The 14,387-nt window shown below is 44.4% G+C and overlaps 4 annotated features.

Moving 5' to 3' along the window:
• Positions 951-1,951: an enhancer, noted in NCBI's record as "amplified fragment containing the chr2:152627787-152628787 (GRCh37) CAGE-defined region". NCBI's record gives its function as "transcribed enhancer in B cells {active_cell/tissue: B cell}" and the evidence as "EXISTENCE:reporter gene assay evidence [ECO:0000049][PMID:24670763]".
• Positions 1,043-1,222: an enhancer, noted in NCBI's record as "active region_16638". NCBI's record gives its function as "activates an Ori minimal core promoter by ATAC-STARR-seq in GM12878 lymphoblastoid cells {active_cell/tissue: GM12878}" and the evidence as "EXISTENCE:reporter gene assay evidence [ECO:0000049][PMID:35858748]".
• Positions 6,148-6,207: a silencer, noted in NCBI's record as "silent region_12007". NCBI's record gives its function as "represses an Ori minimal core promoter by ATAC-STARR-seq in GM12878 lymphoblastoid cells {active_cell/tissue: GM12878}" and the evidence as "EXISTENCE:reporter gene assay evidence [ECO:0000049][PMID:35858748]".
• Positions 12,474-12,963: a transcriptional cis regulatory region, noted in NCBI's record as "candidate enhancer chr2.5074 targeted for multiplex CRISPR interference". NCBI's record gives its function as "positively regulates FMNL2 gene expression in K562 cells {active_cell/tissue: K562}" and the evidence as "EXISTENCE:mutant phenotype evidence [ECO:0000015][PMID:30612741]".

The raw sequence follows: 14,387 nt of genomic DNA, 5'->3' as shown, positions 1-14,387 counted from the left end.
ATTAATATTCATGTAAGAAACAAAATAGGAATCTAACTTTTTTTTTCATTGCAGTAAGTCCTCACAGCATTTACTGAATAATCTTTCTTACCCTGCTTAGAAATGCTGCTTTTATCATTTCTATTTTATCCTCTATTCTGAGCCAGTGATCTTCTGAGTCATCTTGCAATATCACAAACTCTTTTAAATTTCTGTAGTTTAATAATATGGTTTAATATCTAATATGGCTAGTTTCTTCAGATTTACTTTTTTTTAGAGAGTAGCTACTAGCCGGCTCTGGTATACCACCAAATAAAGTATTGTTGTTGTGCTATGAAAAACATTCTTAGGCCATGCTAGGAACACAAAGCAGAGAATAGTCAATTCCATTTGAGGAAGATAGTAGAGGAAGCTTTATAGAGAGACTTTCAGGTGTTTGAAGGTTTTCTTTAAAGACATGGAATGTAACCCTCTTTTGTAGCACATGAGGCCTTCCATTTTTGTTCCATTCTTGGACCAGATAGTTGAGAAGTCTGTATTTAGAAGAAGTACAAGCTTCGTATCGTCAATGGCAAGATGAAGAACAAAGATCCCAGGTGATCCTAACGTGCTGCAAGGGATAGAACCAGAGACTCCTCTGCTGAAAAGCCTTAGCTGGCTCCTCATCTTTAAGTTACAAGACTGTAGAATTTGTTTGTCTTAAGTTTCTTTCTTACTCTAGCCTGAGTCTTTGCCACTCAAAGATTTTGTGTTGAACAATTACAGAACCAAACTGGGGCATTGCTAATAAATTTGCCTCACAAAACTGGGGAATCCCAGTCTTTGGGAAAAAAAATTATCTGATAGGAATGTTGTGTGGAAGCCAGGAAGATTGGATTAGAAGATATTAGAGTTCTTCCACTTTTCAGTAAGCTGATGGTGCTATGAAGAGTCTGGTTGGAGTCATTTTTCAGTCTTTCAGAAGGAGCATTGTTGAATCCCTGTAATGTCCTGTGGGTAGTGTTTGATGTAAGGGAGATTCTGTCTTGGCTGAGATGTAAGCCCATGTGGCCCTCTGGAAAGAAAAGAGGTTGGGGACGTGTGACTCGGGCTGTGGCCAACCTCCTTCACACCTCCTCTGTCTCTCACAGGTACCAGCACCCTCCCTGGTTCAGGCAGGGAATGAGGAATAGGTTTGTGTGAGATGGGAGACCTCCAAGAGCTATTGTGGGATCATTTGTTGAGCGGCCAAAATGAAATGTATTTCTCTTCCCAAGACATGTGCATTGCCTTCGCTAGCTTCTTTTTGAAGCAGGCATATTCCCTTTTTTGTTTACACCGTAAGCACTCAATAAATAGTATGCCTCGGTAGTCATAATAATCCGTGGTTGCTTCCAGAAACAAGCCAAACTCATGAGTAAAACCAGCATTAGTGGACGCCAAACAACTGTCGCATTTCAGACACCTCAGAGCCAGCTTGGTAGCCAATGATCTTTCAGTGCGAGCTGGCTCCTTGGTGTTACTGGAGGAGAAGCAACTGCATTCCCAGAGGCATGGGGCTGCCCCAGACAGCTGTGTTTGCTGAACTGTTTCATGTCACTTCTCTATTTAGTCCAGAAATAGAGATCTGAGAAAAGAAAAAAACCAAAACAATGGCAAGGTCTAAATGTAAATGTAATACGGCAATGACAATGGCTTGTTGGCTTAGATCATGGGAATGCTTCATAGTGTCCAGGCCCTAGGCAGGAAAGGGAGGCTAAGCCAAGATTTGAGGGTCCCCATTTCTAAATCGAGGTCTTCAAAGGCCTAGATTAGTTTAACATGTAAATTCTTCACTCTACCCTTGCTCAACTGGAGAGTCTATGTCTGGGCTTCTGACAAGGAGGAGAGGCTAGAGAAGAAAGAACAATGGGTACTGAAATGGCCCAATAGAGTATTTGTCTCAGATGTCTTTAGAGAAGGAAACAAAGGTCGTCTAACTTGGTGATGTGGTGCAGTGTTAAGGAACCTGGAGTGTGTCTGGAGAAGAGCCTCCTAACTCTGGTTCTATGTTGGCCATAACATTTTCTCTCTAAGCCCAGTTTATCTCAGTTTGCTCATCTGTGTAATAGGAAGATAAGACTTCATAATATGATAATTTTCTAATTTTCTAACCTCTGATTCTAAGAGCTTCAATACTCTGCAAAGTTAAGCAGAGACCAAAAACTACCCCGGAGACCCAGACTTCATCCACAAATAGGGCTTATAAAATTTTTTTAATGTCTTCTGTAAAGTCTATACAATAATTTTATCACTCTCCACATCTCCATATTCCTTTAAGATTAGCTAACAGCACCTTGGACTAGTTCTACTCCAAAGAGGGTTAGAGAGACAGTACAGTTTTGTGATATTATTCGTAGGAGCCGAGGGAGTTTGACAAACCGAAATATTACCCAAACCTTACAGCTCTGCTTATCAAGCTCTTGCTTATCACCGCCATTGACAACAAAACCAAATATGTATGGCATATTCACAAAAAGGGGTGAGCTTACTGTGACAGGAACTTTGTTAAAAAACAAAATTGGTCCTGGGCCTGACAAGCTCATCCTATCATTTTGGAGGTAAATTTTCTTTCTTTCTTTTCTTTTTTTTTTTTTTTTTCTTTTTTGAGAGGCAGTCTTGTTCCTTCACCCAGGCTGAAGTACAGTGGCACCATCTCAGCTCACTACAACCTCCGCCTCCTGGGTCCAAGTGATTCTCCTGCCTCAGCCTCCCAAGTAGCTGGGATTACAGGCGGATGCCACCATGCCCGGCTAATTTTTGTATTTTTAGTAGAGATGGAGTTTCACCCTGGTGGCCAGGCTGGTCTCAAACTCCTGACCTCAAGTGGTCTGCCCACCTCATCCTCCCAAAGTGCTGGGATTACAGGTGTGAGCCACTGCACCTGACATTAGAGGTAAATTTTTAACAACAAGGTAAAATGCAAGGAGTGGCATCTCCTGGAAAATGAGGTCATGATGCTCTGTGGAGGAGGAGGGTCCTGATAGGAGCCTGGAAGGAGGAAGCCGCTGGCAGCGAAGAGAAGCCAGAGGCATGCCAAGCCAGGACAACACGATGAGCAGGACACCGAAGTGCCGTGTCAGAAGACAACAAGTACATGAGCATCTTTGTAGGGCAGGACAGATGAGAGCGAGCAGACGGCAGGTTCAGCTGGAAGGGGGTTCAAGATTTGGCAGACATCCCTAGTTGCCTATCCCAATATCTTCTCTTCCTCCTTAATCACCCAACCTTGATTTTTAGCTGAGCTTCTTAATGCTCAGAATTAAAGATAACACTTTCCACCCTCCTTTGCAATTAAGTGTGGCACATGGCTGGCTCTAAACAATGAGATATAGGCAGAAATATTCTGGGGGACTCTGGGAAGATGCATATCCATTTCCTCCTTTCTTCCTGCTACATGGACTGCAGATGGGGTGGCTGGAGTTCCAGCAGCCGTCTTGTGCTAGGAGGTGATTTGAGAATGGCATATGTTGAAGTTTATAGAGAAGAAAAGAAAGAGCCTGGGTTATTAATAATGCCTTGAAGTAGCCTGAGACTGCTTATCTCCACACTTGTTTTATATGAGAGAGAATTTTAAATTTTAAGATACAGTTATTTAGTATTTTTCTGTCATATGTATCCAGATTGTGGTAGGCCTAGAATTTTAGAATAAATTACTTTAATTCTTTAGAGACTAAAAAATGCTACAATTTAAAAATTAATATATCAGTTATATTTTGGGCAACTATTATATGTCAGACATTGTGGCAGATGTTGGAGGAATGTTCAGCTAATTTTCTGAAGGCCACAATACAGAGATGCTTTTGTGGTTCATTTAAATATGAGTTTATGTTTGGCTGTCAATGAGAACTCACATATATTTCTCATCTCTCTTTCCCTGTGATATATTTATAAAGCACATCAGTATAGGTAGTGTACTTGAATGGCACTGTCAGAACATCCTCTAAACCCCGGAGTTAAAATTGATGTCCTGCTTTCAGAAATAGCCAGGTAAATCCTTTCACTGGTCTAAAACTCTAAAATGAGCTTCCTCTATCTAGTAAGTCATCCATTTTACTTTGGCTCATCACATGCTATTAGAAAGACAGTCTTTCACTGCCCAAGAGCACCTAGAATATACCAAGTTGATGAGAGTGTTTGGCTGAGTGGGGAGTTGGGGGTTGGACCATTTTAAAGGGAAACAATATCTCTAATGCTCAGTTAAAAAAATACACAGGGAGCAACTCTATACAACTCCCCTTCTATTCCCTCCCCCACACTCACCCTCAGCTCTGAATCAAAGGTAGGGTTGTTCCCCAAGCTGGTTTTCTTTTTTTCATCAGGGTATTACTCTGTTGCCCAGGCTGAAGTGCAGTGGCATGATCATACCTCACTGCAACCTCGACCCCCTGGACTTAAGCAATCCTCCTATCTCAGTACCCGCAAGTAGCTGGGACTATAGGAACATGTCACCCACACTCAGTTAATTTTTTAAAATTTTTTCTAGAGACGGGGTCTTGCCATATTGGTCAGGCTGGCTTCAAATTCTTGGGCACAAGGTATCCTCCTGCCTCAGCCTCCCAAAGTGCTGGGATTACACGGGTGAGTCACTGTGCCCAGCCTTCAAGGCTGATTTTCTAGCAAGCTCTCAGGTGAGGCCAATGCTGCAGGTCTATCGACCACACTTTGGGTAGCAAGAGTAGGCAATGTCACCTGTCTCAGAAGTGTTTTATCTTAGTATCATGCACCCTGTGCCAGCCTGGATGACATCCCAGGCACAACAAGAAAAACATTGATGAACCTGACATGTTTGTGCTATTCTAATGCTACGAGTGGCAAATCCAGAATAGAGACCTGGTTGTATTCATAAGTACTGTACTCTCTTTACAGTAGTAATTTCTAATAAGGATGATGCTGATGATGTTAATAATAACGGTAGCTAACCTCTTTTTTTAGTATTTATTGTGTGTCTGATAGTGTAAGTGCATTCCATGCATTATTTAATTTAATGCTACCAGTAACTCTGTACAGTAGGCACTAGTCTAACCTCCACATTTCACATGAGGAAACTGAGGCTCAGAGAAGCTAAGCAGCTTTCCCAGGGTCACATGGCAGGCTCACAAGTGTAATGGCAAATATTTCTCTGCTCCTTGAAGAGGATTAGCAAGTCCTCCTTATTGCTCCCAGACAGTTGAGTGAGGGTGCTGAGCAGAGAGTTTTAGTCAATGGAAGGATTTACCTGGCTGTTTCTGAAAGCAGGACATCAATTTTAACTCCTTGGGTTTTGAAGACGTTTTGACAGTTTCCTCCAAGTATACTCCCTATAGTAATATACTTTTAAAATATATCACAGGGAGAGGGAGATGAGAAATATCTGTAAGTTATCACTGACAGCCAAACACAAACTCCCTGCTTACAAGTTTGTCTTCTTTCTTAAAACTTCAAAGTGAATACCTCTGGGATATGGGGACAAAAGTTGTCCTCAGGAACCATGAGTCATAGTGACTTTAGGAAATGATGATTTGACACCAGACAGCAGTAAGTGAACTATTTCAAGATGTCTCAGAGTCTTAGTGTTGGAAGGATCCTGGAGGCTGAAGTCCCCTCAGCGTTTCTACTCAGGGGCTGTGCATTCATGTTCCATACCCTTTGAGCCACAGCAGCCACTGCCGTGCCAGACAGGCTGCTGCTTTTTCAGGCAGCTCTAGTTGTTAGGAAGTCTTTCTCTGTATTAACTTCCCTGGAACTCTCTTAAGCCTCATTCTGCCCTGTGGAGGCCCTCAGATTCTGTCTCATCTGTCCTCTGTATGACACTAACATATGCCTGTTTCCAAGTTCCAACTCTAAGGTTGCCTACTTCTGACCTAAAATAAAACTGTGAGGGGTGTTCGTGTGTGTCCTCTGGTGCTTGAACATTGAACATGCATGTTTATGCCCACACTTGCTAAGTGCTAGCTGGGCTCATTGATTTTTCTTTTCTTTTTTGTTTTTTAGAGATGGGGGTCTCACCTGCCATGTTGCCCATGCTGGACTCCAACTCCTGGGTTCAAGTGATCCTCCTGCGTCAGCCTCCTGAGTAGCTGGGGGAACTATATGTGCAAGTTTGTTCATTTTAAAGGTGGCTTTGCCCAGTAATCTCTAGCTGGGAGCATCCACTGACCCTAGGAGCTAATGCACAGGGGAGGATGAGAGGTACTCCTGGGAGGGTGAGTGCCTTTGGGTTATCTCAGTCCCTGGCACCTTCACGGGGGGGTGGGCAGGCAGATGAGCTGTCATTCTAGAAAGTGCCAGCTATGCCTGCACACTCCTCTCAGCCTCGAAGGCACACACCCTAAGCTCTGAATCAAAGGTAGGGCTGCTGCCCCAAAGCCGATGTGGCTTGTTAAGAACTTGAGAGACTGTAGGTCATGCAGTCACAAGGGCATCCACCAGAGATGGGGACAACCAACAGGAGACCTCAGCCTTGGTGCAGGCAGTCTAATGAGGGGCCCAGCAGTGCTGTTATGACAAAGGGCTCTGAGTCAGCAACGCAGCTTGTTGGTGGAGCTACTGAGCAAAGCCTCTTACCTTCTCTGCTTCTTCAAGGCCCAGTGCTTTATCTGTCAAATTTGGAGAAGATCTCTGCCTTGTAGGCTTTAAATGTTTACTTAGTAGCTCTCAACTTCCTTTCTCTCTTGGCTCAAATTTTGAATGTTGGGGCAGGAAACTACTACTGAATATCATTTACTTGAGATTTCCCTTGTGGCCCATTAGAAGGAGTGTGTGTGTGTGTGTGTGTGTGCATGAGAGAGACACAGAGAGAACACACCAAAGGCCACTGTGGGTGAGGGTGGGGTGTTTGGATGAACACCAGTCTGGAAGAATCAGGACCCCTGGACTTCTAGGCCTGACCCCACTGCTCCCTGGTCATGTGGCTTTGGGGAAGCCACTCTAACCTTTCTAGGCCTCATTTTCTCCATGTCTAAAATGAATACCATAAATAAGAAGTAATTTCTAGTGTATTATGCTACTCAAACTTCTGTTCTCATTTGTTTTTGTGTGTACCTTCTGCATGCCAGGAACTAATTCACAGCATGAAACAAGCCCCTGCAGTCCCAACTCTTAGCAGCCCGTTCCCCCTGGGAGAGGTCAGGTCACACCCAGATAGACAGCTCTACAACGGAAGGTAGAGGTGATGAGCAGCATGCAGGCAATACGGCAATACAGCGAGGCAGGGGCGTGGAGAGCGATGGGCAGGCGCTGTTTGAGCAGGGAGCTTAAGCACTTGAGGCAGTGAGTCCAGAGTGTGGCCTGAGCACGGAGGGGCAGGAAGTGGGCCTGAGGCAAGGAGATTGGATTTCATTCTAATGGGAGGGCTTTGTTTTTATTTCCGCCTTCAGAGCTGTATTTCAGTCCATGTGCAGCAGGTTAAAACACTGCTCCTCCCATCTCCTTCCCCACTCTGTGGTGGTGGTGGTGGTGGTTTTGACACTGAAGGGTGGAACCCGGAGGTTGGGGTGAGGAGGAGGGAAGGATGGAGAGGGTCTGGCAGGGCTTCTTGGAGAGCATGTGGAGTTGATGGCAGCGGAAAGAGGCAGGAAAGGGCATGCATTCCAGTTCATCTTGTATTTCCAAGCTCTGAAGTCACTATTTAGAAGAAGGAGATAAGCCCTATTTCCTCCACTTTTCCCTTTTCCCTTGTATTTTCTCCTGGAGTTAGAACACAGAGAGAATTGATGTCAATGCCTATGATTTGTCTCTCAGCTAACTTTTAAAGTATTTGCAAGGCTGAATGATTATGTGTTGTGCATCAAGTGTTCCTGTATTATCTCCCAAAGCCATTTTTTTCCATGAAACCTTTTGAAATCAAAGAAGAGAATCACAACTCTCCTGGCCTCAGGTTTTTCCTGAGGTGGCAGAGGTGTGGCGTGGACAGGGTGGGCTGGTACAAGTGGGAACCTATTTTCCAGAAGGGTGAGTTCAAAGGCTCAAAAATAAAGAAGCAATAAAATAAAAAAATAAGCAAATAAAAGAGCAAGGCTGGGGCTGGATAAATGAATCTAAAGAAAGCAAAGAGCAAACACAAAAGACCCACATTGCTCAGCTACTTCCCAGACCTCCAATCAGCATCAGCCCCTCCATTACCTAAACTTGGGCCAAGTTGAAAGACTCGAATTAACTGGCTTTTGTTTTGTCTTTTCTCACAGCTCACCTTCCCTAGAAGCCTGGAGTGGAGGGTGAGTCCCAGAGGATGGGGAGCAGGAGGGAGGACAGAAATGTGGACAGAGTGATGCCCACTCCCTAATTAGCTCCATAATGTCTGAGACTTGAGCTTGAACTTGCTTTCTGTAAGCAAAAGTGGCCCTCTGGCCATCCCTAAATACTCAACCAAAGACACTGCCCAATCCTCAGCAGTACAGATAAATGCCCTTTTCAAGATTTATCCATGTGGACCACACTGCACATAGATGCCACTCCCTGACTCAAAACCTTCAAAAGTATCATAAGGGCCAGTAAGATTTGATCCAGGTGGTATTCCTAGCTGTCTCCTGCCCATCTTCTCCCATCGTTCTCTCCCAGCCTCCTTGGTTTCTCTTTTACTTGAATAGCACATTCCTCCCTAGGGCCTTTGTATTTGCTGTTTCCTTGGTCCAGAAGGGTCTCCCTCAGTCATGCACTTGGCTCCCTCTCATTTCATTGAGGACCGTGCTCCAACTTCTCCTTCTTGGGGTCTCTCTGGCTCTCCCAGATAGCTTGTCCCTCCTGTAAGAATATTTATCTGTCTGTGTGCATATCGTCTATCTCCTTCATTAGGATGTAAGCACAGGAGGCACAGGAAGTCGTCTATTTTAGTCATCACTGTATCCGTAGCACTGCAAATGGTTCCTAGCACATAGTTGGCACTTAATAAATATTTGCTGGAAAAATGCTTTGATTTGTGGGGCAGAGTCATACTTGCTGGTCTACCCAATGTCTCCAGCACAAGCTCGTTTCACATGCCTGCAGGTATCATTTGCATTGATTATATCTCCTGGTTGTGTGTGTGTGTGTGTGCATGTATGTGTGTGCATTTGCATAAGAATTGCTTAGTAAAAGTGCTACTTTTACTTGATTTTTGAAAATTGCAAAATAGCCATGACTACAAGGTGAGGAGCCCATTTGGCCAGCAAACAGAGGGAAACTTGAGAACTTCAGGCCTTGCAGGTTTCCCCTAGTGCCCAGTGAGGTGGGCCGCCATACCTCTCTGTGGTCTCAGCCTGGCTACAACAGAAGGGAGATGCTGCCTGTGATGTGTCTTGTCTCTAGGCAGTGTTGAGGACGGGTCTCAGAGAGGGGCTCCACCAGAGCTGGTGGTGATGGGAATAATAACATATGGACCCAGATCACCCACCCCCTCATGGCAGCTGGGCCTTGTGGCTTCAGCCACATGGGCTTGGGGAGTTGTTTGATTGCATGTGTGTTTGGTTTCCCTATTTACAAGGAGCAGTTAAAGGTCATGAAGAGACCTCAAGACCTCTGAGTTCTCTTCACTTGGTTTCCTCTTTCTTTCCCAGGGGGTACAGTCCATGCTGTGTGAAATACCCACAAGACCGTGTCAAGAGGAAGGTATACCTGAATACCTGTATACCATTCACACAGCTTTCAGTGACTAGGCCTTTTCGTCTGGTCCACTTTCATAAGCAGTGACATTATTTAGCATCTGCTAATCCAAAATTCACGAAGTACATATATTTTTAATATTTTAGGCCATTCAATAACTACCGAATGCCTGCTATCATGCATTAAAATTTTAGAAACCAAGTTCTGCTTTGCCTTTCAAGAGAAAAATCGCGATACGTAAAAAGAGAGGGGCGGGAAATAGAGCAATTCTACAGTAAGCTTCCACTGGAGTAACCCCAAGTGAACTCCGTACAACCACAAGGGCTTTAAAGACCATGGTCAGAAAACCTCTAGGCAAGATTATTTTTAAATGTTTACAAAAGTATGTTCATGTCAGGTCTATGCCAATATCTGATTTTAAGCAACATGCCCCCAATTTAAACCCCAGTCTGGCTAACCCTCTGGCAAGCTACTGAAATCCACACTGCTTGGCAGGTAGACAGGCCTGTGTAAATTCAGAGAGAAAGGCCCCAGAGTAACCAAGTGTCACATCTAAAACACTTGTACCCAAAAGTGTACAATCTAGATGGGTCATAGTTCTCTAGATTTTTTGGCATCGTATTATTCAAATCACAGCAGGCAATGGAGATTCTGACCACTGAACGTGAGGTATACTTATGGTAGTGTGGTCAGTTTAGAAGTGGCAGGAAGCATTTCTCTTTCTGGCAACTGATGTGAAGGCTAGCTGCCCTGAAAACTCAGATTATCTGGATCTTCTCTCAGGCAATATGGGAAACAGATGGTGAGCACATAGTCATTCTCTTTCCCATCTGATCCTCCCAGCAACTGTCTGTGGTTGACTGGGGGTGCCAGTTCTAAGTCACGATGGTTCTTTGTTAGAAATTAACCTATTTCCATCTAAGGATAAATAACAAAATACAACTTTTTCTAGTGAGGCATAAATTGGATATGTTTGAAGTTACACATTTTGAAGAATTGTAAATGTCCAATACTTCTGAAAACACATATGCTTTAATGAGTTGATTTTTGTTTTACTATTTCTTTTCCTTTTGTTACATGTCATCTTTCCATAGCTGACATGTTTAATAATATATTTTCAATCTAATGGTTGCATATACAGTAAGAGTTGCATTAGACTAATTGTAAAGATCATAGTATATCAAATCAAATGGTGTTTACACCAAAATCAGAAACCCATACACACACTCTACATATGTATATGTACAAGTGTTTGTGTGTAGTGTATGGAGAAGCAGAAACACTGAGTTACAGCTTTTATCACCCAAAATGTGCACTTAACATTGAAGTGATACTCATCTTTAATTACAAGGAATTGTTTCCCAGGCAAATCAACCAGTCAAGTCAATCGTCTATGACTTACTTTATAAAAGATGGAAAAGAAACCAGGTATGGTGGCTTGTACCTGTAGCGCCAGCTACTTGGGAAGCTTGAGCCCAGGAGTTCAAGGCCAGCGTGGACAACACAGTGACACTCAGTCTGAAAAAGACCAAAAGACCAAGTGTGTAGCTCAAGGCTGCTCAGAGGTAAGGGGCAGATCTGAGGCCAAGGCTGTGTGGCCAACTCAGTGTCTCAGATGCCCCAGTACCCTCTGGGTCTATTTGCTGCTGCCTTGGTTTTTCACACCTGGGAACCTTTGCATTCCTGTTAAGTTGGGAAGCAGTTCAGTATTCAAGGGCTAGAGGCTGGAGGTAAATAGGCAGTCAAGGTGAATCCCAGAGGCTCTTTGAGATCCATTCATTCATTCATACATGCATTTACTGAGCAACTATTATATGCTGAGTTACATAATACAATGCAAGGGACCTTGTTCTAACAGATGCCTGAATCTGTGAAAACAAATGAAAAAACAACTGTTTGTATCAGTTTCCTAGGGACAGTGTAACAAAGTAACAAAGTACCACCAACTGGGTGGCCTGCAGCAATAGACATTTATTGTCTTGCAGTTCTGGGTGCTAGAAGTCTGAAATCAAGGCGTCAGAAGGGCCAGGCTCCTTCTGAAACTTGGGGGTGAATTCTTCCTGTCTCTTCCAGCTTCTGGTGGTTGCTGACAATCCTTGGAGTTCCTTGGCTTGTAGATGCCTCACTCCAAGCTCTACCTCCATTGTCACACCCCATCTTCTCCTTTTGTGTCTCTGTCTCTTCACATGGCATTCTCCTCTCTGTCTCTACTCCTCCTACAAGGACACCAGTCATATTGGATTAAGAACCCGTGCTGCTCTAGGATGACCTCATTTTAACTCACTGTATCTACGGTGACCCTATTTCCAAATGAGGTCACATTCTGAGACCCTGGAGATTAGGACTTCAACATATCTTTTAGGGGGACACAAACCCGTAACACCCTTAGGTCCAGTTTGTTTCAAAGGATTTTCAAAGTTTCACAGGATTCATCTCCTAGCTTATTCCACTTCCTCTTTGAAGCCTCCTGACTTACTAAAAAATAATTTTTAAAAAATGCTGTAGCAAGATTTGTGGGATTATACATATTGTGGGATACTTCAAATGTTTTAACCATCTATAACGCAAAAATAGAGTGCGGCCGGGCGCGGTGGCTCACGCCTGTAATCCCAGCACTTTGGGAGGCCGAGGCGGGCGGATCACGAGGTCAGGAGATCGAGACCATCCTGGCTAAAACGGTGAAACCTCGTCTCTACTAAAAATACAAAAAATTAGCCGGGCGTAGTGGCGGGCGCCTGTAGTCCCAGCTACTTGGGAGGCTGAGGCAGGAGAATGGCGTGAACCCGGGAGGCGGAGCTTGCAGTGAGCCGAGATCCCGCCACTGCACTCCAGCCTGGGCGACAGAGCGAGACTCCGTCTCAAAAAAAAAAAAAAAAAAAAAAAAAATAGAGTGCAACACAACTATGTTATTCACAAGATAATTACAGAATTTACTTTGAAAATATTAATTTACAGTGTACTCTTGGAAGTAGGATCCAAGTTTTCAACTCCCTAAGAAAAGACAATTTATTTTAATCCTGTGGGTTTATCTCAGGCAGCAATCGTGTGCCTCATTAGTCATGACTTCAGACTCCTACATTTGAGGCCTGTTGCGATAGTGAGGCTGGGCCAAGGGACCGGCTCCCCACAGATAACCCTGCTCGCACTTAGGAAGAAGCCATTTTTGAATTGACATGTGCCCCATTCCTTCCCTTCTACCTGCTGAGCCAACACACGCTGCCTTTCCTCTGACATCACTCTGTTCATGTCCTCATGCTCCTGACTCAGAGCAGTGCCTGGCTGTCTCCTGTCCTTTTCTCATCCGCATCTCGCCCGTCCTTTGCCAGAGGGTGGACGTGCTACTGTCCAGCCCGCAGGTGGCTGCTATTTGCAGCAGTGAGCTCTGCAAACAACACTGTGCTTACCCCAGGCCTTAAGCCTGTTTGTTCTTGTCCAGTGACCCAGAGAGGGCTCAGGGCTCAGAACCATTTTCTCAGTGCTGCCAGTGTTCCCCCGAGGCATTGTGCCTGTAATATACTCTCCACATTTTGAAGGCAAGGGACTGCTTTACCTGACCCCACTGCTACTGCCCCAGAGAAATAACAACAATAACCACTATTTATTGAGCAATTACTGTGGTGTATTAGGCACTCTGGTAGGCTTTTTATATGAATCCTGTCATTTAATCTGCAGAAAACATTATGAGGCAGGAACAAATATCATCCTCACTTTGCAGATAAGGAATCCAAGACCCAAAGCAAGTAGGTTACTTGTATAAGGCCACACTGTTAGTATCTTTTTTATTTTATTTTATTTTTTTAAGACAAGGTCTCACTCTGTCACCCAGGCTGGAGTGCAGTGGCACAATCACGGCTCACTGAATCCTTGACCTCCCAGGCTCAAGTGATCCTCCCACCTCAGCTTCCCAAGTAGCTAGGACCACAGGTACACACCACCATGCCCAGCTAATTTTTTTTTTTTGTAAAGATAGGGTCTCCCCATGTTGCCAAGGCTGGTCTTGAACTCTTGGTCTCAAGTGGTCCTCCTGTCTTGGCCTCCCAAAGTGCTGTGATTACAGACATGAGCCACCATGCCCATCCAACACTGTTAGTATCTTTGCAGACCCTGGCAACCCACTCTCAGGTGCTCTGACCCCAGCAACAGGAATTTTCATCACTCTGGCCCTGTCCTGCTCTGTTTGGGAATGCTATGACAAAATATCATAGACTGGGTGGTTTAAAAACAACAAACATTTATTGCTTACAGTTCTGGGGGCTGGGAGTTCCAAGATCCAGGTGCTGGCAGATTTGGTGTCTGCTGAGGGCCCTAGTTCAGAGTCTTCTTGGTTCAGAGATAGCCATCTTTTCAATGTGACCTCACATGGCAGACAGGACAAGTGAACTCCCTCAATCCTCTTTTATAAATAGCAGTAACCCCACTCATGAAAGCCTCATGACCTAATCAACCCCCAAAGGCCCATCTCCAAATATCCTTTAAAAAAAAATTTTTTTTTAATAGAGATGAAGCCTCACTGCATTGACCAGGATGGTCTCAAACTCCTGGCCTCAAGTGATTCTCCCACCTCGGTCTCCCAAAGTGCTGGGATTAAAGGCATAAGCCACCACACCCAGCCCAAATATCCTTACACTGGGTATTATGTTTCAGCACGTGAATTTAGTGGGGCATAAACATTCAGACCATACTTGCCCTGTGGAGGATGATGAGTGGATGGATGGATGATGACCTATGGAGGATGATGGGTGGATGGATGGATGGACAATAGAGCAACAGACTGATCCCGGCACAGAGAGCTTGATTGGCCTGCTCAAGGACATGTCAGGCCCTTCAAGTAC

The sequence above is a fragment of the Homo sapiens genome, chromosome 2 (assembly GCF_000001405.40).
Source record: "Homo sapiens chromosome 2, GRCh38.p14 Primary Assembly".
NCBI classification, from domain to species: domain Eukaryota; kingdom Metazoa; phylum Chordata; class Mammalia; order Primates; family Hominidae; genus Homo; species Homo sapiens.
This window is presented reverse-complemented; position numbering and strand designations above follow the sequence as displayed.